Below are 27,411 nucleotides of genomic sequence, written 5' to 3'. Positions count from 1 at the left end.
CTTTTTACAAATTATTTCTTAAAAAAATTAATATATTTAATTTTTGAAAAGACATTTAACTATATCATTTCCATGATCTTCTATCACATCTGTGGCTAGTTGGCTGAATTAATGGTATCGTAAAAATTAGAAGTAGCTGGTTCTTTTTGGAAAAAAATTAAACTTTTATTTCTTCCACAAGGAAAATATATACTTAATACATAACTAGCATATAACCAACAAAGTATAAAGCTTCTTCTTTAACAGCATTTTTAAGCATTCACTATAAAGCATGTTTAAAAGTCCTGGGATTCCAAATATGAATTAGCCAGCACAGTTAAACTTATCAGACTACCATCAGTAAATTCTTACTATTTACCAGGTACACCTCATTATTTTACACTATAAAAATTAAGTTCTGTGTTTCTAGATATAACCCTCCAACTTCTACTGTACATTATACTAATTGTATGTGTAACCTGGGTAATCTATATTAAAATTCAAAAGGGAAAGGCTCTGTCTGCTTAACCTGCATGGCTTCATAACCATCACAGCACTAATAAATCTACTTGCTGACAATGAGGGCAAAACACCCTAAAATACCAATTGCATCTATAAAAGTAGCACAGGAAATTTCTAGCTAAGGTGCTAACAGCTCAAATTTAAGAAGGATTTTTTTTTAAGTGATTTTTTGGCTCAAGAAATCATTACTTTTTCCCAAGAAGTGTCACCTACAGGCCTTAAGAGTGTAAGGGGTATTTCCAATTCTAACCAAATTGTATAAAATTGTCCAAGTTAGTATACACTTATATCAGCAATACCGAAACTTGGCCTTATTATCTAAAAATTACCAAGTCAGCTTTCCTTTGTTAAATTTTCTCCACATATCAACTTAGTAAACTCAGCTAACAAGTGCACTTATTTTTATAATTATTATGGAGCTTATAATAGACCTAAACACTCTTGGTGAGTTCAGCAACAGTAATTTACAAAAGATTGCTTTCAATATTGCAGCAATGGTCCAATGAAAACAGTTCAAAAGCTCTAAAAATTTCAAAATGTTAGTTCAAAAAAATTACTGGGTTATTACATGACAAAATTATAAATATCTGAAGTAGGGATAACAGGTTCCATATGGTTACAAAAGATTTATGATGCTTTTTTCTTTAAGGAAGATATTTTCAGCTCATATACATCAAATTGAACATAAGACTCCCTTAACAACACTTAAAAAAAAATGCTATTAATGGTATAATGTCCACATTAGACTACATCTTTCTTTGCACTGTCCAGATGATAGCCTAGGCAAAAGAAATCTTAGCCAGTTTTATTTTGTCAATCAAACTTTAGGAATTTGTCTTGTGTTAGAGTAAATGTTGTAGGGTTCCCAGATAACAATTTTAGCAATGCAAGTATACTTTAAAAATATATAAATCTAAATATTCTGCTTTGTAAAGTGTGAACACAATGAGGTACACTAATTTTTTCACATCAAAGGTATTTCCCTTTTTATCAATCTCAATGAGAATTGTACAAGAAACAGGAGGGAACCAGTGACTGAATTTTGAAGGCTGAGGATAACCATCTTCAATTTTCTTCATTAATAGGTAACATAAAGCATTTCTTTATGTTACCTATTAATGAATTTTCTAATACTTTATAAAATCAGCATCCTAAATCTCGGGATAAAAATAATAACCTAAAACAGAAACTTCCAAGCAAAAAATTATTTTTTAAAATAATTATTTTCTAAAATATGAAGTGCTAAATACTTCAATATCATGCCTCAATATCATAACTCTCTGAATCAGTACTACATTGAAGCAGGATGAAAGATACAGTTCTTGGCCAATTTGAATTTAGTATTTTTTTCTGGATATTACTGAATTCACACCTAAAGTATTGTAGCAAACTTGTGTTTCACCTGAGCTAAGTAAGACAGCATAAAAATGGCATCAGGGAAATTAAAATTCTCCCTCTTTCAAGCATATAAATACACTGTTCTCTAATTATGTTTCTTTTTTTTTTCAAGTATCTATTTGTAAGCCCACAGCTTACAGTTTTTCCATCACAGAATCTCTACTCTGTAACTAATATATAAACAGTACAAATTTTAAAAGTGTCATTGACAATTTAGTATGCTACCTCACTGGCATACTAAGTCTGAGGAAAAAATAACCCAGAAAATGATCTCCTCCTTTTTTGTTAAGATATTGGATAACAGTCATGTGCTTAGAGAATAATTTTTCTGCAGTAAACCTTCAATGGCTTCAGAATGAAAAGTATGATGCCTATTGTTTATCTGCTATTGAAATACTCTTTTCAAGTAACATGGAATTCAACAGCAGTCACAAAATTAGGCCAGAAAAGACCTCCATAATCACCTCTTCTAACACCTTGATTTTATAAATTAAAATCCAGTTTAATTTGCTTTCTACATTATAATAACCTTCATCTTTACTATAAGCCATTCAATGAGTCAAATGTTAATGCTGCAGAAAGCAAACTAAATTTGAGTTATGTAAGCTGGAGATCTATAAGTAGTACCAAATTAATAAACTTATTTTTAATTAAATTATACATGTGATTTTAAAAAATTCATCTACCACAAGAATTACTGTTTGGTGAATGTATATATGTTATATAGATGAAAAGATATTAAAGATTTTTTTTTAATTACCTTACAAAAGAATATCTGTCTCTCAAGACTTTGGTACCCCAACCCTAAAAGGGAGGAGGCCAGGAAAGGAAAACCAAGGAGATATTCATTTGGTTTCTACACATTACGCCTGACAATTTTCTGTACATTACGTTTTCAAAACAAAATAAATCTGACCTTTTCTACAAACCCTAGAACTATTTCCAAAGAATTTTATTCCTCCATTCCTAATATGGTCACTTGTGATAGATATGGCTAAGTAACTGCTGAATTTAAATGAATTAACACTTAAAATACTCTCTTCCTACTTTATTAAGTACAATCACAAACGTATTTATAAAATAAGTTCTAAAGAGATGTCTATATTCTAACAAAGTTCAACTATAAAGAAATATGGTCTATCTCAGTAATTATATCCAGATATATACAGGCTAAATGATAAAGACCCTCAATATACAAAAGCTAGTCAATGGTATGTTTATACTGTAATTAGAAAAACATTTACTCATATCAATTTCCATTAAAAAGACCCTAAAATACTCCAGAAAATTATTGTGTAATTACTTAAGAGTTATGTCCAGCTTTTCCATATTTTGATCAACCAAAATTCCACTCAAAAAAAATGTTAACACTCATATATAATCTAAATCCTCAAAAAATACTGTAGTTAAAAAGTTACATTATATGGAAGTTTTTTATTTGCTTTTTGATACATAAGCTTTCCATCTCAGGATTGAGAAGATAAAATGTTCTAGTACTTTTCTTCTCCCAAGTAAGAAGCTCTACTGTACATCACTCTCTTCTACTTATTAGGAAATGCCTTTTGGGGAGCAGAGTAAAAAATAATAAACTGAACTCAGATTTTTTAATTTGGTTAGAGCAAGTTCCAGCCTTTCTTGGCCTTACCCAGATATCAGCCTTGGTGGTGATGGGTTTCCCTCCATAAAGGTTGATCATTTCAGGGGCTCTGTATGACAGAGTTGTATACCTGGCAGTAAATGAGTGAAATGGAGTGGAGATATATATATATATATAAAAAAAAGACAGATAATACATTGTTTCTACATAAAACACTACAAAAAAAGTCTTTTAGGTTCAATAACATTATATAGAGTAATACTATTTTTAAAAACTCATTAAAAACCCGTCAAGGATTAAACAATACAAAGCATCTATATACATTTTTATTCAATAAATACAACAGTATTTCTAATAATCTAAAAGCTTAATTGTCTTTATTATAAAAATCTGAAATAATGACAATATATTGGAAACAGTTTTCCTTGAATTTCTTATGTGAAATAACACAATTTGGCTATTATAGTCTCCTTATCAAAATATTTTAGTCTATTAACTTAAAAGTAAAACTTCCACCCTCTCAAAAACTTAATTTATATATTTACTAAGGAAATTGTTTTTATGGACTCTAACGTACTTCCTTGACACAGTAGTAAATCTCTTTTGAGTTTGTTTTTATAATTATTTTAAAAGTAATCTGTTTGCTACAATCTAACTGCACTCATTAAGTATATTTCTAATACTGACTGCCATAATAAGCTATTTGGAATCAAAAGGTATTATGAATAAATATTTACCAATAGAAAACCCCCATATTTATTATGAACAGAACATTTTAATGAAGTAGTGCTCAAATCTCATGTCACAAATGCTCAGAAGATGAATGGACATCCTATATCACAGCATAATTTAAGATTTGGATTGCATCATTTTATTTTGCAAGAAGTATCTTAAAAGTCAACATTCTACTATCTTACTTTTTCCAAACACTCTGACTGGTGAGAGAGTCTGAATACTACTACTGTGGAGGAATGACCTAAGAAGCCAGAAATATAAAGTTCACCAAAACAGGATTTTTATTCACTATACCCCCACCCCAGCATCAAAAAAGTGTTGGCCCTTAATAAATACTTGTCAACTGAATGAATGGTAAGTCCATTAATTGAGCCACAAAGGACAAAACCCCTCATGAACTTTTGTTCATCGCTAATAAAACATTCAATTGAACCTTATACTTCAAAAGGCAACAGCAAGAAATAAAATGTCTAGCAGGTCAGGGATGCTTGGACAGAATCCTATACAGCAGCCACTAAACATCACAATCCAATAAATTTTTAAAATTATATACATGTATTCTCCAATAAGCCAATTCAATACTTTATTATTCTTGTATTCTTCAGGACTTTATATATTTACTAACATGTTTGTTTTTATTAAATCTAACATAATCATCATAGGCTAAGTTTCCTGAGTAGTAGTATGTAGCGTAGAAATCTACAGTATTATACAAATGGGCCAGAGTAAAATCAGCTCTATTTGAACTATTTCAAAATATTGCAGTTCAAATGATGGCTCTGACATAGTATTAGGCAATAGAGAATTTGTGAGGAAGTGATGAAAGGCAACTCAGAAAAGGTTAACTATTTAGAAAGTCCTATTCTGAGAGATCTTCCTGCATTCTGTATCACTTTATTAAGATAACCTAAAATTTACAAATAGTTCCATTTTCTAAAAGTAGAAAGCAGAAGAGTCAGCGAAAGATTCTCACAGGTACTTTAGCAACCACAGAAAGCACCGGATTAAGAGAACATAAAGTAGATATGACATATTTCCATTCCAGAGCTTTCCAGTATAACATTACAAAGTAACAGTGATGATGCAGTCTTAACACTTTCATTTTCTACACAGTTTTCAATGCATAAAAAGTCAATCCTTTTAATATTAAATAAGAAGTAAAAGCTTAAATGTTTTCAAATAATTTAACTTTTTCTTAACAAGGACAAATCCTCAGTATCAGTAAAAACAAAGATGTTTAACTGAATTCAATAATCATTTCAAACTCCCTTTAACAATTTCACTAATTACTACAGCTTATTTAACAAATTTTACAAATCTGTTTACAATGTAGACTAAAAAAATCTGCATCTATGGCAAAATATATTTCCTACTGAGCTAGATCAGACATGAATTAATCAACATCTATGGCACAGAAATATTTCAAAGAAATCTATAAATGAAATACCTAAAATTTGTATTAGCAGTGCTGGCCAGAGACTCAAGTTAACTTAAAATTACCATGACAAAAGTGCAATAAAGACAAATACTTACTTTTTAATTTCTTCTTCTACTACATTAACTCCATCTTTTTGAGGATTAAGAAATTTATTAGTGGCACTGCCAAAGTCACAAAGTACATAGTTCCCACCATCATTCAACAAAATATTTTCTACCTTAAGAAAAGAAAATCAATAATGAGTAGTATTTTCAAAGTGAAAATTAACTTTTTACAATCTTTGTAAAAAATGGTTATTTGTACATACGAAGCTTATTTTTACACAATAAACACCGAAGGGTATATGCCATATACAAAAATAAGTATACATGTGCCATATATATACATATATGTGCACAGTGCACACACACATATATAGACATAAGATACCCAAATTATGAGGAAGGTCAAATGAATGGGAGCAAAAATATACTATGTCTACTGCTTCTCTTACTAAGAACAGAGAAATGCTTCTTCCAACCCAGGTTGATTTGTACAGGGGCAAAGAAACCCTAAATCCTATCTAAAACTGTTTTTATAAAAGAGAAGAACTAGTACCTGGCAGAGTCCAGCTTCTCTCTTTTACTATACTTCCAATTTTCTCCTTTTCTGACACTTAAGCTTCTCTATAGATAATAACAGAAACTACTGGAATTCCATCTTTGATTTCTAGTACCATTTTTATTTAAAATACTACACTGAAAAAATACAAATTTGACTTAATTTGGAGATCAGGGTTGTAGTAATTAAAATAAATTATTATAGTCAGTTTCTTGAACAGTAAAATATGGGTTCAGAGCCCAATCTCCTACTAACTAGCATATGGACCCTTGGACAATCTGCTTAACCATTCATGTGCATTAGTTTCCTTACGTAAAATGGGGACAATTAGAATATGAATCTGCCATATGGAACTGTTGTGAACATTAAATGAGTTAAAATATGTAAAGTGCTTAGAACAGTCTGGAATATGGTAAGCACCTAATAAATTACTATTACATGTTTTTTCCATAATGTCTTTTATTTTTATGATAGTCTTAGATAAGTAATTCATTTATTTCCATTTTATCGAAATACTGTTTTATTATAACTTTTCTTCTATATTTCACTTTAGTATACTTTTTTAAAAATTTGTACAAAATAAAGATTCAGAAAGAAATCTACTTAGAACATATATTTTTGCATAAGTTTACACATAAAAAGCACTAAGCATATAAAATATGGACAATACAAAATTATGCAGTTAAATGTCTTCTGAATTTAAAGAAGAGTCAGCTGAAGATATCAACTTTGCATGCAAAAAAATTAATGAACTATAATAGCACAAAAAATGGTATCAAATTATTAGGGGAAATGGAAAAGCTGCATATTCAAAAGAACTAACATGAACTACACTGGTTATCCAAATTAAGGCGAGATGCCTGCAGTTAAGCATTTCAATGCTGCCTTATCTCCTACCATCATAGGTTTTCTAGATGATGCTTTCATGATTAACAGCCTATATTTTTAGTGACATTTTCTCTTTTATCTTACAAGCATTTTATAATAAACTTTCATAAAATTCTGTATAATCAGTCAGAACTGGGATTTAATCATTCAATATTTATTAAGACTCTGCTATGTATCAGGCACTATTTTAACTGCTTAAACACATCACTAAAAATGGAAGAAAAAAAAAAGAAAAGTCCTGGCCCTCATGGAGCTTACATTCTAGAGGGAGAGGGCAGGAAATAAATAATAGGCATAGTACATAAGCAAATTATACAGTATCACAGGAAGTAATATGGACTAATAAAAGGTGCAGCAGGTTAGGCTATAGTGATGGGACTCACTGAGAAGGTGAACCTGAGCAGACCTGAAGGAGTGGAAAGGGTAGTCAGAGGAATATCTAGGCATAAAGCAATTCAGGAAGAGTGATTTTTGTAATCTCAGTGTTCTTCTGGGCATGAAAGAGGACACCTGCAGTTATAAATTATATCTCTAGCAATATAATGCCAGAATATTCAATATTCTTTGGGGACTTTTTTCAATGTAACAAGTGGGTACCAATATAAGAGGTCAAGAATCCACAGAAGATGAAGTGACCTTCAAGATAACTACCACCAAATTATAGAAAATAATAGAAAACTGTACCAAATTATAAAGAAATAGAAAAAGAGACCCACTTATGGTCTCCTCCAGTATCTCTTGAGAACACTTTGATGCTTAATATTGATTACAGTTAATAGGAGAAATGCTGGCTGAACTGAGAGACAATAGTGTGGAGAGACATTTAACATATGTCAATGAAAATCACATTTATGTTCAAATGAAACCTTTTAAAGAAGCCTACTATAGAAAACAGGGATGCAGGGTAGAAGGTACAAAATCTGCCTCCACAGCCATGCTAGAAATCCTCAAAGTCAAGTAAAGCACAATTTCAAAGCTACAGTCATTCTTTACATGACCTCAGGAAATGTAGAAGGGGAGAGAGAGACCAACCTCAAAGCCAGTTTTTATACTGATTTAGATGAAAATACTCCAAGAACATTTTAACTCCAACTTATTACTTAATCCATAGGAATTCTAAAGTTCTTACCTTCAGATCCCGGTGAATTATTGGAGTCTTACACTGATGCAACCTTGCAACAGCTTCACAGGTATCACAGAATATCTGTAACACTTCTGGTTCTGTAAAACCCGTCTGTAGCTTCTTATTCATTTGATTCACTACCTGTCCAGCTAACCAAAAAAGTAATTTTGAGAGGACATATTTTTAATAAATAAAGTCTATCACAAGCAAATTAAGAAATGTCTTTATGGCTTCAAGTAATGGGAAATTGGCTTTTTCATAATTCTCATGTAAGGATGCTTATTACATCATACTGTATTAATTCAATGACACACATTTTTTCACATTTTACATCTCAAAAGATCATCTTAAAATAGATAAATGTCTTATTAATGCTATTGCCCACTTTTCTTTAACACGTCTGAGATCAAAGTATATCTTATAATACTGGTTTTAAGAAATAGCTATTTAACACCATACTATTTATGGGCTAAACAGTGGTGAACAAAAATAAGGTTTCTGTTATCACAGAATTTACAGTCTAAAGGTAGAAGCAATCACACAAATAGATATATTGTAATAATTATATATCATAATAATATGAAAGAACTTATATGAGAAACCTAAATTTAAACTGTGAAGGAAGATGAGGAAGACAGGGTACCAGATCAGGTCTAAGGAAGTGATATTTGAGATTGAAGGATAATTAGGAATCAACCAGGCAGAGACTTGGGAGAACAATATACTAGCGATACTGAGTACTATGTACAAATGCCATCAATTTAGAAAAGAATTGATGACTCTGAATAACTCAAAGAAAGCCAGTATGACTTTCTTTACAACTTAAAGAAAGCTGATATGCTCTAGGAAGCAGAGGAGACGATAAGGTGAGATGAGACTGGCAAGGCAGACAGGGATCAGCCATACTTTAAATTCTATCTCAAGAGCCAAAGAAACTTCCTCATCTGACTTTCAAAAAAATCTCATCTAGGGTTAGGGGAATCAAAAGAGTCAAAATGGGCTAAGAGGTAAATTCTATCCAGATAACAGATAATGGACCAAAATAATTGACTAAAATCAAATTGCCACACATATACCATTAAGCCCTGAGAAGGTTATATATTACAGTATAGAAATTGATAGTCTAATAATGATTCTTTATTAACAAAACGTTAATCATCATATTTTAAGAATGCAAGTAAATATGTGATTCGCACAGAAATCAGTCTAATAAAAATTGAGTTTGGGAATTCAAAAAAACATAAAGCATTCATTAACTTGCAACTTTCCTTTAACAAGGTTAGATAAATGAACATATGCTATTTTACAATCTATGAGAAGGTACATATAAACTTGTTCCTTTTATTATTACTGTCTAAGCAATCTTGTCTTTTCTGAGAATATTTTTCTCATAGAATTTTAAAGCAAAAAGAACATTAATTTTACCTATGAATCCCCAACTTTCAGAAAACTCAGGTGTAACTTGTTCAGATTATCTCACAAGACTGGGGCACCTGACCATGCAGCAACTTCCACCACTCCCTCATTTGGCAGACTCCCTGTCTTTTAATTAAACCCAGGCTTCTCTAGTTTAAGAATAATTAAACAGAATAAAAAAATGCTTTCTTGGTGTACATTCACATCCTTGAAATATCATATCATAGCTAAAGAAATCATAACCTTGAACTCAATCCACCTCTTCCAAACTTTTAATGTTAAAATAAGCAGAATAAATTTTAAACAAACTTTAATTCCCTTTCTTCTGTCCAGAGACCTTTGAAGTAGAAATCCTCAATCACAAAAAACAAGTCCCTAGAGAAAACTAAAAACTATATTTGGGCTGAATTTCAAATGAAATAAATAAAATTTCATTACTCAAAACTCAGAGTTTTCTGAAAAATAAAGCTTAAAAGAAGGTATTCTAATTTAAAAAAAAGGTAAAAAGTCAGATATGGAAATCAAACATTATATACTGAAGGTTTTTTAAAATGAGATACCCCACCTTTAAACGTCGGTTGCAACTTAGCTCACACCTGACCAATCAGGTAGTAAAGAGAGCTCACTAAAATGCTAATTAGGCAAAAACAGGAGGTAAAGAAACAGCCAATCATCTATCGCCTGAGAGCACAGAGGGAGGGACAATGATCAGGATATAAACCCAGGCATTTGAGCCGGCAATGGCTACCCTCTTTGGGTCCCTCCCTTTGTATGGGAGCTCTGTTTTCACTCTATTAAATCTTGCAACTGCAAAAAAATAAATAAATAAAAATAAAATAAAATAAAATGAGATGCCTACAACTCTCAACTCTTTCCATATTTTCCAAAGAGGTATCATTAACCCAAAACAAAAGCTTTTTACACTCTGCCAAATTTCATCACTAACATTAAAAAGCAACATTTTTCTAATCTCTTAAAAAAGGTGTTCAACAACCTATCTGAGTACACATATTACCACTTAGTTAAAAAAAAACCAAAAATACAACCTATTACTCCATTTAAATTTTTGATAATATGACTTTTTTATTTTTACAACTGTGATGGTTAATACTGAGTGTCAACTTGATTGGACTGAAGGATGCAAAGTACTGATTCTGGGTGTGTCTTTGAGGGTGTTCCCAAAGGAGATTAACATTTGAGTCAGCGGGCCGGGAAAGGCAGACCCACCCTTAATCTGGGTGGGCACAATCTAATCAGCTGCCAGCACAGCCAGAATAAAAAGCAGGCAGAAGAACAGGAAAAGACTAGACTGGCTTAGCCTCCCAGCTTACATCTTTCTCCCATGCTGGATGCTTCCTGCCCTTGAACATCTCTCCAACTGCTTCAGTTTTTGCAGTCGGACTGGCTTCCTTGCTCCTCAGCTTACAGATGGCATATTGTGAGACCTTGTGATTTCATGAGGTAATACTTTATATACATATAAAGCTCCCCTTTATATGTATATCTATCCTATTAGTTCTGTCCCTCTAGAAAACCCTGACTAATACAACAAGATTTTTCAATTTTATCTGTAGTAGATTGCATTATTGGCCCTAAATTTTCAAACTTCACTTTTTACATGCACTTTGTCATGTAACTCTGCAGTCTGTCCCAATAAATGAGGCAGATAAATTTCCTGCTCTTTGATTTGGGCTCAGTCATGTGATTTTCTTTGGCCAACAGAAACAGGTAAAAGCGTCAGTGTCCTAGTCCCAAGACTAGGCCTTAAGAGGCCTCATATGCTTCTACATGCCTTCTTATGTTTCTATCATCCACATGAGAAAACCATCCACAGGACAGCTTGCTAGTGACAGAAAGAGGATGACGGACACGTGAAGCAGAGCTACTCCAACTAATCCCAGCTAACCACTGCCATGTGAGAAAGCCCTGCCAAAATCTGCAGTGCCACCCAACCAAGCTAAGTTGAAAGCAGCTGGCCCATGGATACACAGGTGATAATAAACGAAAGTTATTTTATGCTATTGAGTTTTGGAATTTTTTTTAATTAAGCAAATACTAACAGATACATAATCCATGGAAACATATGTAGAATACTTCCTAAAAACATACATTAAAAATTAATAAATTTTCATAATTTACTCACAAATTATTCATACAATAATATAAATGTGCTCAAAATACCAATACTGATTTCTGGAAGTCTGAGACCTAAAGTACATAATTTCTCTTTAAATCTATGTATCAAAATATTAGCAAATAAAGCAGTACCAAACCACGAATTTACCAAGACAAAAGATGATTACACTTGACAGAAGATGATGGTAAACATTGAATACCTAAAACCACGTAAGGGGATATGAGCTATATAACATATTGTTTTACTCTCTGTACAGTTTTATCCCTACATAATAAAAGCCAATGTCCCTGAACTGTATACATTATATAGGTTCCCTTACTAAAATACCTTAATTGTTAAACAATTTTATGTAATGCAGTTAGCTGTTACAGAGGAAGTAAGTGGAGAGTATTTAGTCCTCTATTCTCTGCCCTTCCAAATCTCTCCCCCACCATGGAAGAAAAAGGAACTTATCTAATTGATTCATCTGAGAAAAGATATCATGCATACTCCATTGAGAAAATTGAGCATACTCCATTCAGGCCTTCTGGATTTCTTCTATAAAGAAATAATTGCCCACTTAGAGGGTGCAACTGATCTGTAATACATGTAGTAACCTTAACAGGTAAAACATCCGAAGAAAACTTTGAACAAAAAAAGAGAAAGCATGGTTTGTCCGTGTCCCCACCCAAAGCTCATCGCGAAATCCCACATGTTGTGAGACGGACCCATCGGGAGGTAGCTGAAACATGGGGGCAAGTCTTTCCTGTGCTGTTCTCGTGATGGTGAATAAGTCTCACGACATCCGATGGTTTTAAAAAGGGATGTAAAAGGGACATTACCCTGCACAAACCCTCTCTGTCTGCTGCCATCCACATAAGATGTGACTTGCTCCTCCTTGCCTTCCACCATGATTGTGAGGCTTCCCCAGCCACATGGAACTGTAAGTCCAATTAAACCTCTTTCTTTTGTAAATTGCCCTGTCTCGAGTACGTCTTTATCAGCAGCGTGAAAATGGACTAATACAGCAAGGAAAAGAAAAAAATTTAAAACTAACATTAGCTGGCCACACTGGTTCTGCCCTTAATCGCAACACTTTGGGAGGCTGAGGTGGGAGGACTGCTTGAGGCCAGGAGTTCCAGACCACCCTGGGCTACAAAGTGAGACCCTGTTTCTACAAAAAATTAAAAATTAAGAAATTGGCTAGGCATGGCCATGTGCACCTCTAATCCCAGCTACTCAAGAGGCTGAGGCAGAAGGATCACTTGAGTCCTGAAGTTTGACTTTGGACTCCAGTGTGGATGACAGAGTGAGACCTTGTCTCAAAAACAAAGAAAGAAGGGTCAGGGGTGGAAAGAAAGAAAAATGGATACACTGAAATTAATATCCACAGACAACAAAAGATTTGCAGCTAAAACAAGAACTAGGTGTATTTTTCCCCCCAGTATCTCTGCATGGTAACAAGGTGTACTTTAGCAAAGAACACTGAGAGAACACGAAAGAGTCAAGCTGGGAGTGGTAGCTCACACCTATAATACCAGCATTCTAGGAGGCCGAGGCAGGTGGATCACTTGAAGTCAGGAGCTCAAGACCAGCCTGGCCAACATGGCAAAACCCCATCTCTACTAAAATTACAAAAATTAGTCAGATGTGGTGGTGCACACCTGTAATCCCAGCTACTCAAGAGGCTAAGGCATGAATGAGAATTACTTGAACCCACAAGGCAGAGGTTGCAGTAAGCTGAGATGGCACTATGCACCCTTTAGCTTAGGTGACAGAGCAAGACTACGTCTCAAAAAAAAAAGAAAAGAGTCCTTGGAAATTAAAAATAATATAATAGAAATACAAAATTCTATAGAAGAGCTAAAAGATAGAGGAAGGCTTCCAACAATAAAAGAATAAAGAAAAGGAAAATAAGAAAAGAAAATCAGAGGATTATCAATCTAGAAAGCTCAGAACATTTGAAAGAAAATGAGAAGTCCAGTAAGAGAACAGAAAATAGAAGACAAAAACGCCACAAAAAGCATACCAAAAATGACACACAGTAAGGCACGTATATCTTGAAATTTCAATACGTTGTAGATAAAGGAAAGATTCAAACTAAAAGTGTCCATGGAGAAAAGATGTCACATAGAAAAATTAAGCAATCACAATAACATCAATTTGTCAACAACACTAAGAAAAAAGTGGAATGATGTCCTCAAAATTCTGGATCAAAATTATTTCCAACCTATAATGTTTTAGCTAGCCAAAGTAACAATCAATGTGGGCACTGAATAAAAATATGTTTATATATGCAAGGTTTCAAAAATCCTTCTCCAAAAAATCCAGTCAGAAAGCTACTGAAAAACAAAGTCTTCCAAATTAGTGAGTGAAAACAAAGGTGTGGCATAAGTAGCAGGGAATCCAAGACAGAAGGGAGGCAAAGGTAATTTCCAGAAGGACAGCTAACTGCTGTTCAAAATTAAGCAGGATGATCGAAGTCTCCCCAAGGGGTGTTTTTAAGGGAAGAAAAAATGAAATCAAAACAAATATTAAAATGTCTAAACATACTGCATAATTATTTTTACTTCTTTTTTTTTTTTGAGACAGAGTCTCGCTCTGTTGCCCAGGCTGGAGTGCAGTGGAGCGATCTTGGCTCACTGCAACCTCCACCTCCCCGGTTCACGCCATTCTCCTGCCTCAGCCTCCCAAGTAGCTGGGACTACAGGCGTCCACCACTACGCCCAGCTAATTTTTTGTATTTTTAGTAGAGAAGGGGTTTCACTATGTTGGTCAGGCTGGTCTCGAACTCCTGACCTCTTGATCCGCCCGCCTCAGCCTCCCAAAGTGCTGGGATTATCAGTGTGAGCCACGGCGCCCAGCCAATTATTTTTACTTCTATTGGAAAATGCGGGACTAAAATATTAATATACATGAAGAAAATTAGGCAAATGAAAACCGAGGTAATTACTAATTCCAGGAAAAAAAAAGGATAAGAAAATACAACTACAGACACCATTAAATGGGAAAATAAACACTGATTTGGTCCAAAACCTGAGAATATCTATACTAGAAGTAAAATTCCTATCTTTTCTTAGAGACAATATCTAAAACATCAAAAGTAGCACTAGAAAACTTTCTTTCAAGAGCCTCTTCATGCACAGAATTATATACTTCCCTTGATTTTCTAAGTCCTTTCTCTTTTGTACCCTTAAGAAATCACTAAAATTACTGATTCTCTTTTATATAATGCAGTGTGGAAATATGGAAGTAAATATAAGAAACATCTCAAATATTTTAAAGGGACTACCTCTGAGAAGAGGGATGAGGCAGGAGGGTACTGATTCAGCCACAGCTTAAGATATTTGACTTTTTTTTTTTTTTTTTTTTTTGACACGGAGTCTCGCTATGTGCCCAGGCTGGAGTGCAGTGGCGCGATCTCGGCTCATTGCAAGCTCCACCTCCCGGGTTCATGCCATTCTCCTGCCTCAGCCTCCCGAGGAGCTGGGACTACAAACACCTGCCACAACGCTCGGCTAACTTTTTTTTTGTATTTTTAGTAGAGACAGGGTTTCACCGTGTTAGCCAGGATGGTCTCGATCTCCTGACCTTGTGATCAACCCGCCTCTGCCTTCCAAAGTGCTGAGATTACAGGCGTGAGCCACCGCACCAGGCCAACTATTTGACTTTTTAAACCATATATACAAATTACTTTGATAAAAATTTTAAATTTCATATACCACAGAGCTTGATGATTTGAATACCGGATAACTATTTCTAAAAAATTTTTAAAACAAAACAATGCATTCCTCAAAAAACAGATATGATCATTCTTCTACTTTAAAATAAAATTTGCCCCTAAAACTTGAAGGTCATTTGATTCCCCTTTTAAGATGTCTTCTAAGTGACAATTAAATTAATCCAAGGTTATGATTATGCTTGATTCAAGTATCTTTTAAAAGTTACAAGTAGTCAAGGGCTACAAGTAAACTCTAAGAATTAGCACTATAAATGCTAGAATTCAGGAAAATGGGGTAGAAAAAAATCAGCATCTTCTCCTAAAAGAGATCACAGTACAGTACTTTATAGTAGAGAAGATAAGATATAAAGAAAAATCAAGAAACATCTGGTTGTTAAATATTGTGTATGGAAATAAGTTACAAATACATCACGGTAGGTATTGTCACATTGATTCACTTCATTTTCCCCATCCTTTCCTCCTTAAAATACTGCAGTAAACAAGATCATATTTTCTCCAACATCACCATCATCCCCCTCTTTTTCCGCAACCTTCAGGAAACTGTAAGAGTTTCTGGGATAGTAATTAACAATCATTACTTTCTGAAGAGAATGTAAATGTAAACCAGGGCTCCCTAGAACCACAAGTGCCAAATATGGCTTGCAAGTTTGTAGGAAATAGAATATTTGCCTCCACCTTTCCACACATTAAAATTTTTAAGGACAGACGCGGTAGCTCATGCCTGTAATCCCAGCACTTTGGGAGGCTGAGGCGGGCGGATCACGAGGTCAGGAGATCGAGACCATCCTGGTGAACATGGTGAAACCCCATCTCTACTAAAAATACAAAAAATTAGCCGAGCGTCGTGGCGGGCACCTGTAGTCCCAGCTACTCGGGAGGCTGAGGCAGGAGAATGGCATGAACCCGGGAGGCCGAGCTGGTAGTGAGCCGAGATCGCACCACTGCACTCTAGCCTGGGCGACAGAGCGAGACTCCGTCTCAAAAAAAAAAAAAAAATTTAAATGTCAGGAATTTTTTTATGATGATGATGATGATTAAGGTATGCTATACAAGTAAATATTTATTTTAAAACATCACATTAGGTCCAAATAAAATGTGATTTTCTATATCTAATGTTTACAAACACCACCAAGAGACTACATAAAACAGGTTTATAAAGTCTATAGATCAAAATGCATCCTCCAAATTTGTTAAATTTAATGTTTACAATAACGTAGTAGAGTTCTGGAAAAATCTTACAACATTAATATTGACATATTATCCTCTTCTTGGTTGGATTACAGAAGAATTCTATGGAGAGCAAGAACTGTAACTCTGTACCTGCTTAGATTTCCTATTTTAAACTCAATATCACTTTTCTCATTCTGCGTTTACATGCTCATATCATAACTGCAGTAACTATGACTAGGTTTTAAATAATGTTTTAACAATATTCCTAATTAGATAATGAAAGGTAAGATTACAATAAGTGACTAGAATTAGTTAGCAGCTACCCTGGAAATAACAAAGATACCTAGTAACCCATTTAAGGAGAAACTTTTTATTACAGTACAAATGCAAAAAAATACTTACCTCGACAATATTCCATTAAGATAAGGACTTCCCATACATTATCACTAATTGAATTAACAGCACAGTCCAAATAGCCCACAATATTTTTGTGACCAGATAGCTCTTTCTGGAAAGAAAAAAAAAAATGAAAACTGGAAAATGTACATTTAAAGGTATAGAATTAGTAATGGTTTGAAGCCTAAATTAATGTAAAGAATTTCAAAAGGTAAGAATTAGGCATGAGTACAGAATCTAACATATTTCAAGCAAGCAAAGGCTTCTATGGTTTCAATAAAAAGTTTACCTGCATGCGACTGTAATTTTCTAACAGCAAATATGAAAATTATTTTTAAATTGAACTGTGAAAATGGTTCACGCAAAAGGAATAGCTCCCAAAAGTGTACAAAGAACTTGAGAATAAAATATTAGAACTTTTATTACATTTGTTTTTATCTAAAAAATAAAATAACTAAGCTCCAATATTTATTAACAATTATATTCTCATTTATTTTGCCTGCAACATATTGCAATTTACGTGTAGCTATTACATGAATTTATAGACACATGCACTTCTAACTAAATAACCTAAAAAAATGAACAAGTGGCTAAAAAGATTTCTAAAAAGAAACCATAAAGATAATGCTAATACAAATATAAGGAAATAAGAAAATGAAACATCTGAAACTTTTGTGTCTTTTACAAAATAGTCATCAGCGTACAATGAGGTTAAGAATAATAACCTACTCTGTTCTACTGGGAAATTTAAAAACAACTATTAAAAATATTATTTAAAATAAATTTACATAAACTATCATTACCAATAAACCTAGTTTTAACTATGCAATGTAATTTGAAATAAGGGCTAAGGGCCACTGAACATGGGAATTATTTATAAGTAAATATATATAATGGGGATGAATCATCAAAAAAGTTGACAGACCACCATTCTAAAGAACTAATCTCCCTAAAAAATGTTCAAAAGCACAAGATTTGAGTGTGCTGCTCCTTATACATCATATCTCTCAAAATCATACAAATTCTATTGAAAGGAAGAAAGAAGTCTTGTACAAAAGTACAAGACTATAATATCTTGACTCAAGTTAGTTAGAGAACTTAGTCTAAGCTTCTCCATCATCTTGAGGTAAATCTTTTCACCCTTCTAGCTAACAGCCTTAACTGTACAAAAGTAAATGCCAAAGTCTAATCATCTCTAATCTAGCTAAGGAATACAGAAAATAAAAGCAGAATTTTAAAAAGTCAGATTGTGCAAATGCAGTTATTTGCTAACAAAAGGGATTGTAATATGTGTGTTAGTAAAGACGTTGATACAAAATAAGAAATCCCCCTCTTAGCAGGTGGATAAGTACAACTGACATTAATAACAAGTGTTGGCAAGAATGCGGAAAAATACTTTCCTTAGAACATAAAATGGTTCAGCTGCTACAGAAAATAGGCAACATAAAAGTACATATAACCCAGCAATTCCACTCCTAGATATATAACCAAAACAACTGAAACCAGGTACTCAAGCAAATAGATGCATGCACATATTCATGCCAGTATTAATTATAATACCCAAAAGACAGAAACAGCCCAAATGCTCATCAAATAATTTTTTAAACTGCATCAACAGATGAATGATAAATAAATTGTGTTACAGACATATAATGGGATATTATTCAGCCATAAAAAATAAAGATGCTATAATTATGTGAATTTCACCTCAACAAAACAATCTTCAAATATATATATGCACCTGTGTCTGTGCTTGTGTGTAAGCACTCAAAAAACCATGGAGAAAGAGAAAAGAGGATGAAGAGGAGGGGAGAAATGGGAGGACAAGGAAGAAGAACAAGAATAAGAAGCCATCCAGAGCACTGAGCATATGTAACCCTAGAAAAGGAGGAAATTTTTATTCTACATTTTTTTAACTACTTAGGCTAGTTAAGTTAGAGTCACTGAAGTTTTTACTGGCCTATTAAAATATTTTTCACTTTTCTTAATACTTAAAAATAAGTTTTCCCTTGTTGAAAGATGCCTTGCCATTAATTACAGAGGTCACAGAAAAACAACATTAGAGCATGATATTAAAAGTGAAAAACAAAACTAATTGTTGTTTGTGAATAAAAACACAAACAGTGAATGCACAGGAACAGTAAACACAGAATTCAGACAGTAGGATTTTTTTGGATAAGGAGAATAGCAAAGGTGTACCTCATTTTATTGTGCTACATTTTTAAAAAGTGGTACTTTGCTTTATTATGCTCTGCAGATACTGCATTTTACACAAATTAAAGGTTTGTGGCAATCCTGCATGGAGCAAGTTTATAGGCACCATTTTTCCAATAGCATGTGCTCAGTTTGTGTCTCTGTCATATTTTGGTAATTCTCATACTATTTCAAACTTTGCCATTATTATAACAACAGTTATGATAATCTGTGATCAGTGATGGTTGATGTTATTTTCTAATTGTTTCATGGCAACACAAACTGTGTCCATATAACACAGTGAACTTAATAAATGTTATATGTGTTCTAACTGTTCCACCGGCTAGCCGTTCCTCAGGCTCCCCCTCTCCTTGGGGTTCCCTCTGTCATAAAACACAACAATACTGAAGAGTCCCACAATTATCGTTTTAATCAAAAGCTAGAAATAGTTAAGCTTAATGAGAAAGGCACATGGAATGCCAAAGAAGCGCGACATCTAAGCCTTTTATTACACCAGTCAGCCAAATTTTGAATGCAAAGGAAAAATTCTTGAAGGAAGTTAAAAGTGCTACTCCCATGGACACACAAATGGTAAAAAAGCAAAACAGCCTTATTGCTGACATGGAGAAAGTTTTAACGGTCTAGACAGATCAAGCCAACCACTACATTCCCTAAAGCCAAAGCTTTAATCCAGAGCAAAGCCCCAACTGCCTTCAATTCTATGAAGGCTGAAGAAGTGAGGAAAGCTGCAGTAGAATAGTTTGAAGCTAGCAGAGGTTGGTTCATGAGGTTTAAGGAAAGAAGCCATTTCCAGCACATATTAAGTACAAAGTAAAGCAGGAAATGCAGCAAGTTATTCAGAAGATTTAACTAAGACAACTGATGAAGGTGGCTGCACTAAACAACAGATTTTCAACATAGACAAAACAGCCTTCTATTGGAGGAAGATGCCATCTAGGATTTTTAGAGCTAAAGAGAAGAAGTCGATGCTGTATTCAAAATTTCAAAGGACAGGTTAACTCTCTTGTTAAGGGCAAATGCTACTGGTGACTTTAAGTTGAAACCAATGCTTACCTTGCCATTCCAAAACTGCTAAGCCCTTAAGAACTATGCTAAACCTACTCTGTTTGTGCTCTATAAATAAAACAACAAAGCCTGAATGACATTACATCTGTTTCCAGCATGGTTTACTGAATATTTTAAGCCCACTGTTGAAATCTACTGCTCAGAAAAAAAGATTCCTTTCAAAATATTACTGCTCATTGACAACGTACCTAGTCACCCATGAGCTCTGACGGAAATGTACAAAAAAATTAATACTGATGGCTGGGTGTGGCGGCTCTTGCCTATAATCCTAGCATTTTGGGAATCCACGGGGGGCAGATAGCTTAAGCTCAGGAGTTCACGACCAGCCTGGGCAACATGGTGAAACCCCGACTCTACTAAAAATACAAAAAAATTAGCCAGGTATGGTGGCACCTGCCTATAGTCCCAGCTCCTCGGGAGGCTGGGGCATTAGAATCACTTGAACCCAGGAGGCCAAGGTTGCAGTGAGCCAGGAGGCCAAGGTTGCAGTGAGCCAAGATCACACCACCACACTCCAGCCCTGGGCAACAGAGCAAGACATCAAAAGAAAAGAAAAGAAAAAAAGAAGAGAAGAGAAGAGAAGAGAAGAGAAGAGAAGAGAAGAGAAGAGAAGAGAAGAGAAGAGAAAAGAAAAGAAAAGAAAAGAAAAGAAAAGAAAAGATTGTTTCCATGCCTGCTAACACAACATCCATTCTTCAGCCCATGAGTCAAGGAGTAATTTTAACTTTCAAGTCTTATTATTTAAAAAATATATTTCTTAAGACTATAGCTGCCATAAATAATGACTTCTCTGATGGATCTGGGCAAAGTAAATCAAAAATCTTCTGGAAAGGATTCACCATTCTAGATGCCATTAAAAACATTTGTGACCCATAGGAGGAAGTCAAAATATTAACATTAACAAGAGTTTGGAAGAGGCTGATTCCAATCCTCACAGATGATGCTGAGGAATTCATGACTTCAGTGAAGGAAGTAACTGCAGACATGGTAGAAACAGAAAAAAAAAAAAAAACAAAAAACTATAATTAAGTGGAGCCTGAAGATCTGACAGAATTGCTGTGAAATGAGGAGCTGCTTCTTATGAATGAGCAAAGATAGTGGTCTCTTGAGATGGAATCTACTTCCTGGTGAAGAGGCTGAGAACACTGTTGAAATAATAACAAAGGATTTAAGAATATTACACAAACATGGTTGATAAAGCAGTGACAAGATTTGACATGATTGCCTCCAATTCTGAAAGAAGTCCTACTGTGGATAAAGTGCTATCAAACAGTATTGCATGCTACAGAAAAAGCTTTCATGAAAGGAAAAGTCAACTGATGTGGCAAACTTCACTGATGTTTAAAACCCACTTATACCCAGTGTCCCATTATTGGAACGCTAAGCATGTGGGAGTTATTTATATCCTACCGCTCAAGGTCATCGCCAAGGTCTGATTTTTCACTATGCAAAAATTCAAAAACTTGCAACCTCCAGCATAAATGGGTTAAGAAACTTCCACAGCTACCCCGCCCATTCCTTCAGCAACCACTACCCTGATCAGTCAGCAGCCTTCAACATCAAAGCAAGACCCTCTACCAGCAACAAGACTGCACTTTGCTGAAGGCTCTGGTGATCATCAGTTGTTTTTTAACAATATTTTTAAATGAAAGTATATACAATTTTTTTAGGCATAATGCTATTGTACATTTTATAGACTACAGTGTAGTGTTGTGATGTTATGATACTATATTGGTTTTTGTCCACAGTTCCTGGTTCGTAACTCCCAAAGCCCTAGTCACAGTCTTTTGTTATAATGTTGGGTGTCTTAGGCCTCAGGAAACAGAATCTCTCTCCTGCCCTCCTTTCACCTGCCCCAAGGCAGGACTCTAATCGTTGCCCACCTTTCTGATTGTGGGTCTTAAAACTCTCCCCAGAAAGAGTCCTGCACTATACCCTGGGGGAAGGAATGCTGACCTCATGAAGCTTCCATAAAAACCCAAGAGGACTGGGTTCAGGGAGCTTCCAGATAGCTGAATATGTGAGGGTTCCTGGAGGGAGGTGTGCCCACGGAGGCAAGGAAGCTCTGTACCCCTTCCCCCATACCTCATACCCTATGCATCACTTCATTTGTACCCTTTGCAATATCTTTAAAATATGCCACTAACCATAAGTGTTTCCCTGAGTTCTGTGAGCCACTTCAGCCAATTAATAGAATCTAAAGAGCAGGTGGTGGGAACTGCAACTTTAAGTTAGAAGGTGAAGGCTGGAAGACTCAGCAAGTCTGCTCTTCCATCTTCTCCTTCCTGCTTTATTCTAGCCATGCTGGCAGCTGATTACATGGTGCCCACACAGATTGAGGATGGGTCTGCTCTCATGCTACCTGGGGAAGGCAAGAAGGAGATACTCTTAAGCAGGGAGTCTCTTTATCCCTAGGGTGACTCTGGAACTGTGTGACGTGCTGCTGGATTCTACTGGACACTTGGACAGTACACTATGAACAGCTCTTAATTGACCAACAAGGAGTGACATGGTTTACAGACGACAGTTCCAAAGTGAATGGACAACATTCTGTTTGGATGGCTGCTACTTTGATCAAAGAAAGTAAAAACGTATCAGCAAGGTGGGCTGAATTGCATGCAGTTTTTTTGTTTTGTTTTGTTTTGTTTTGTTTTTACAGTAATGGCAGAACTGAACAGTGGTGGAAGCCCCTGTGTTTGAGGTTTTTTTACTGACTCACAGGCAGTAATCAATGGCCTGGCCACACAACCTATGGAAATTTGAGGGGTGCATTAAAGTAGAACAAGTCAGTGCCCATCAGAAGAACTCCCTTCCAGATTGGGAAGGTCACTGGAATCAGCAAGCAGGTGTGCTATGTGTCTATGAGCACACATAGGGGTACTGCAGCAGTGCAGACATAGGATGAATAAAGACATGTTCCTTTTGCACCCTCACAGGCACGTAATGCCAGTGAGAACTGTTCTAAGTGTCAGCAAGACAGACAGAGACTACCAATGGCTATGGATGAGATTCCCTGATAGGAAGACCCTGAACATAGCTGGCAAGTGAGACTGATGCTGGTAGCCCTCAGGGGGCTACGAATAGGTCTTGAGAGGAATAGACATTGACTCTGGACCGGGCTTTGCTTATGCAATGGAATACAAAAATGCTCAGAGTGCCATAAAAAAAAAAAGAAAGAAAGATAAGACAGTGTATGGAGTTAGAGGGCCAACTATCATTTCTTCAGACCAAGGAACACAATGTACAGTCCATAATGTTCAACAATGGGGCAGAGAAAGGTTCTCCACAGAGTAATAGTTTGATATAGAAGTAGAATAGGCAACTGAAACATTGGTCTAAAATGGGGAGATAAAAACTGTAACCATAACTTTTGTATGCACTGGGAAGCCAAAAAAACTGTGTGACTTGCTTTCTTGCAACATTCACTTTATTGCAGTGGTCTGGAACCAAACTCATATCTTCAGGGTATGCCTATACAGGGATACAGTTGAGAAGGCACACAAAGAAGGCTCCAGCAGTATTTGTAGGGTTTAATTTCTTAAGCTGGATGATGAACAAGCTTGGTGTTTACTATATAACTCAGTAAATATTTCTATCCTGAAAATACTCCACAATTAAAAAGTATTTAAGAAAAAAAAAAGAAAGAAAGCAGAGTAGCTTTAAAGTATACAGGATGATGTGTGTAGGTTACATGCAAATACTACATTTTACATACGGGCCTCGAGCATTCTCAGATTTGAGCATCTGCAGAGTTTAGTATCCGTAGTGGGTCCTAGAACCAAATCGCCATAGAAGACTAAGGGACAACTATACTGCAAATTACCAGATTATCTTCTAATTTAATGATCTTCAAAGATTATTATAAATAAGCAGCTTGCCTAAAAGCTGGTTAATGTTATAGAAAACAAAACAGGCCAGGCACGGTGGCTCACACCTGTAATCCCAACAGTTTGGGAGGCCAAGGCAAGCAGATCACTTGAGGTCAGGAGTTCAAGACCAGCCTGCCCAACATGGTGAAACCCTGTCTCTACTAAAAATACAAAAAATTAGCCAGGTATGGTGATGGACACCTGTAATCCTGGCTACTTGGGAGTCTGAGGCATGAGAATTGCTTGAACCTGGGAGGTGGAGGTTGCAGCGAGCTGAGATCACGCCACTGCGCTCCAGCCTGGGCGTGCCACTCCACTGCACTCCATCCCAAGAAAAATAAAAAATAAAAACTTGCAAAATTTCTGAAAGAGAACTACTCCTTCACTTACCATAATTGTAATTTCCCTTTTACAAACATTGAGGTCTGGCATGTTATTGACATACATTCGCTTCAATGCACATCGGATTCCACCGTGAGTACGCACGAGGAAAACTGTGGAGAATCCACCTAGAAAAACAAAGCACCAATTAATTTAAAAGAAACAAAAACAAATGCCAAAATCATGTAATATAATCATAGAGCATATTGGAGGAAAATAAACAATGATTGTACCCAAGACAAAAACAAGTGCAATAAGCTACTAGTAGATTAAATGCCAAAACACTGGCTTCCTAAGTCAATCATGAAGTAGTACTTAGAGGAAAATATGCTTCTCGAATGAAGACGCTTCTCTCTTAAAGGCTAAAATTTCACCTTTTGCACTAGAATACCTTTTATGTAGTATAGTGAAAAATGTCACAATTATGTTACTAAAGTTTGGTATATACAAGTGACTGCCTACATATCAGAATCTCCCTCTTGGATGACAAAACACTGACGTTATTCAACATGAGACATCAATGGGATCAGATAGGTGCTTCCCTCCTCCAGTTCCAGAAGATGAACCAATATTATTCTAAGCCCATCACAGGAATCTCATTTCCCCTTATCAGTAACTGATTTAGGATTGGGTATGTAACTAGTTCTTGCTAATTGAACATGTAAAGTCAGCCCGAGTTGCAGGGAATGATTTTCCATAGATAAAAGACTGGTAGAGAAGGCCCTGCTCTTTTGCTTTTTGATTTTGTTGCCTATGATGTTTAGCCCTAATGCAGTCATCTATGGCCATAATGGAACAAAGAATCAGAAAGAAAATGATCCAAAACACAGACATTTGGCCTACTGAATCAGCCAACTCTGGAACCACCTCCCTCTAGAACTCATACAGTAAATGTCTTCATTACTTAAGCCATGGTTTATATGGAAATTCTGTTTTTTGGGTTTTTTTGTTTTTGTTTTTGAGATGGAGTTTCACTCTTGTTGCCCAGGCTGGAGTACAGTGGCACAATCTCGGCTCACCGCAACCTCCGCCTCCCAGGTTCAAGCAACTTTCCTGCCTCAGCCTCCCAAGTCGCTGGGACTATAGGCGCCTGCCACCACACCTGGCTAATTTTTTGTATTTTCAGTAGAGACGAGGCTTCACTATGTTGGCCAGGCTGCTGGTCTCGAATTCCTGATTTCATGATCCGCCCGCCTTGTCCCCCCAAAGTGCTGGGATTACAGGTGTGAGCCACAGTGCCTGGCTGGGAATTCTGTTAACTGCAGCTGAGAAAGCATCTTATCTGAAGCACTAGGTAGGTATTCTAAAGAACAATTCTGTCACATCTAAACAAAGATTTCTACATGAAGTTTTTAAAATTTATCTTGACACAGAATATGCTATAGCTCAATTACTTTTTTTAAAATGGTATGTCACTTGCATTAATTTAATAGCCTTTAAAAAGCAGCATCCTGAGCAATAATAAGTCACCTGCACTCAGATCAATACAGAGTTGTAAAAGGAAAAAAACTATTAGGAATACATAATAGGGGAAAAGAGTTCTGATATGATTTGGCTGTGTCCCCACTGAAATCTCATTTTGAATTGTAATAATCCCCACGTCAAGGGCAGAGCCTGGTGGAGATAATTGAAACATGGGGGCAGATTCCCTCAGACTGTTCTTGTGGTAGTGAATAACTCTCACAAGATCTAATGGTTTTATAAATGGGATTTGCCCTGCATAAGCTCTCTTGCCTGCCACCATGTAAGTTGTAACTCTGCTCCTCATTCACCTTCTGCCATGATTGTGAGGCCTCCCCAGCCACATGGAACTGTCAGTTAATTAAATCTCTTTCCTTTATAAATTACCCAGTTGTGGGTATGCCTTTATTAGCAGCATGAGAACAGACTAATACAAGCTCCTAGGAAACTCCAGAATCAGTACATACTCTTTCCAGATTCTCTACAACTTCCATTTCCAGTTATAAGAAACTGCACAACTTCCCTTTTATAGATCTGGATTTCCACATGTATAGTGTTAGGGAAATCAAATCAACCACCCCACAAGGCAGTTCTAGGAATAAATCAGATGATGATGATGTTTGGGAAAGGTACTTTACGTAAAATCTCTAACAATGCAGGGCATTACTTTAAAAGAAACTCACTTAGCACTAATTTCATATGTAAACATTAACAAGCCAGAAAGTAGAAGACCTAATAGAAAGGGCCACTTAAACTACCATAATTTTATTTGGTTACAAAAACTAAGGAAAATGTGGAAAGAAAGAATTTATCTAGATAAAGAGGCAGTATGAGTACAGCTGAGAGAAATCATTTAAATAGCATTTGTTTTGAGACATTTATCTATCTAGGTCTAGATTATTCCTCTATAACAATGCTTTCCCAAACATAGCTTTGCATCAGAATTGCCTGAGGTGGTCTGTGTATGAATTTATCTTGAACAGTTTCCAAATTCTGGCCCCAAGTCTGAATCAGTAGGCCTATAATGGGGCCCCATTTATATATTTATACAGATATACAGACATAACTATATAACTATATATATATATACACCTATATATATACCTACATATATACCTATATATAACTATATATAACTATATAACTATATATAACTATATATATAACCATATATATAACTATATATATAACTATATATAACTATATATACAAAACTATATATATATATGAGAGAGAGAGCACTAAAAATCTCCCTACTTGTTATACTATTTTACTCTTGTATATGTTTTAAATTGTTTATT

At 35.2% G+C, this 27,411-nt stretch overlaps 1 protein-coding gene and 1 long non-coding RNA gene across 8 annotated transcripts in view; one reads left to right on the top strand and one right to left on the bottom strand.

The window, feature by feature from the left end:
* BMP2K (BMP2 inducible kinase) overlaps nt 1-27,411 on the bottom strand; it is a 140,016-nt gene that overhangs the window by 65,552 nt on the left and 47,053 nt on the right. For all 7 annotated transcript variants that reach the window (XM_047415932.1, NM_198892.2, NM_001419799.1 and 4 more), the window contains 5 exons: nt 24,659-24,777; nt 17,127-17,232; nt 8,287-8,429; nt 5,765-5,886; nt 3,545-3,626 (listed from right to left, as the gene is read on the bottom strand). In XM_047415932.1, coding sequence (XP_047271888.1) covers nt 3,545-3,626; nt 5,765-5,886; nt 8,287-8,429; nt 17,127-17,232; nt 24,659-24,715 — 510 coding nt within the window. In that variant the 5' untranslated portion in view covers nt 24,716-24,777. The remainder of the gene's footprint in view (nt 1-3,544; nt 3,627-5,764; nt 5,887-8,286; nt 8,430-17,126; nt 17,233-24,658; nt 24,778-27,411) is intronic.
* The window catches only part of LOC105377299 (uncharacterized), a 38,333-nt gene continuing 33,669 nt past the window's right edge, over nt 22,748-27,411 (top strand). The window contains exon 1 of the long non-coding RNA XR_938918.4: nt 22,748-23,001. This is a non-coding gene — a long non-coding RNA (uncharacterized LOC105377299). The remainder of the gene's footprint in view (nt 23,002-27,411) is intronic.

This window comes from Homo sapiens, chromosome 4 (assembly GCF_000001405.40).
Source record: "Homo sapiens chromosome 4, GRCh38.p14 Primary Assembly".
NCBI lineage: Eukaryota > Metazoa > Chordata > Mammalia > Primates > Hominidae > Homo > Homo sapiens.
The sequence above is the reverse complement of the archived record's forward strand: the minus strand, read 5'-3'. Positions and strand labels throughout refer to the sequence as shown.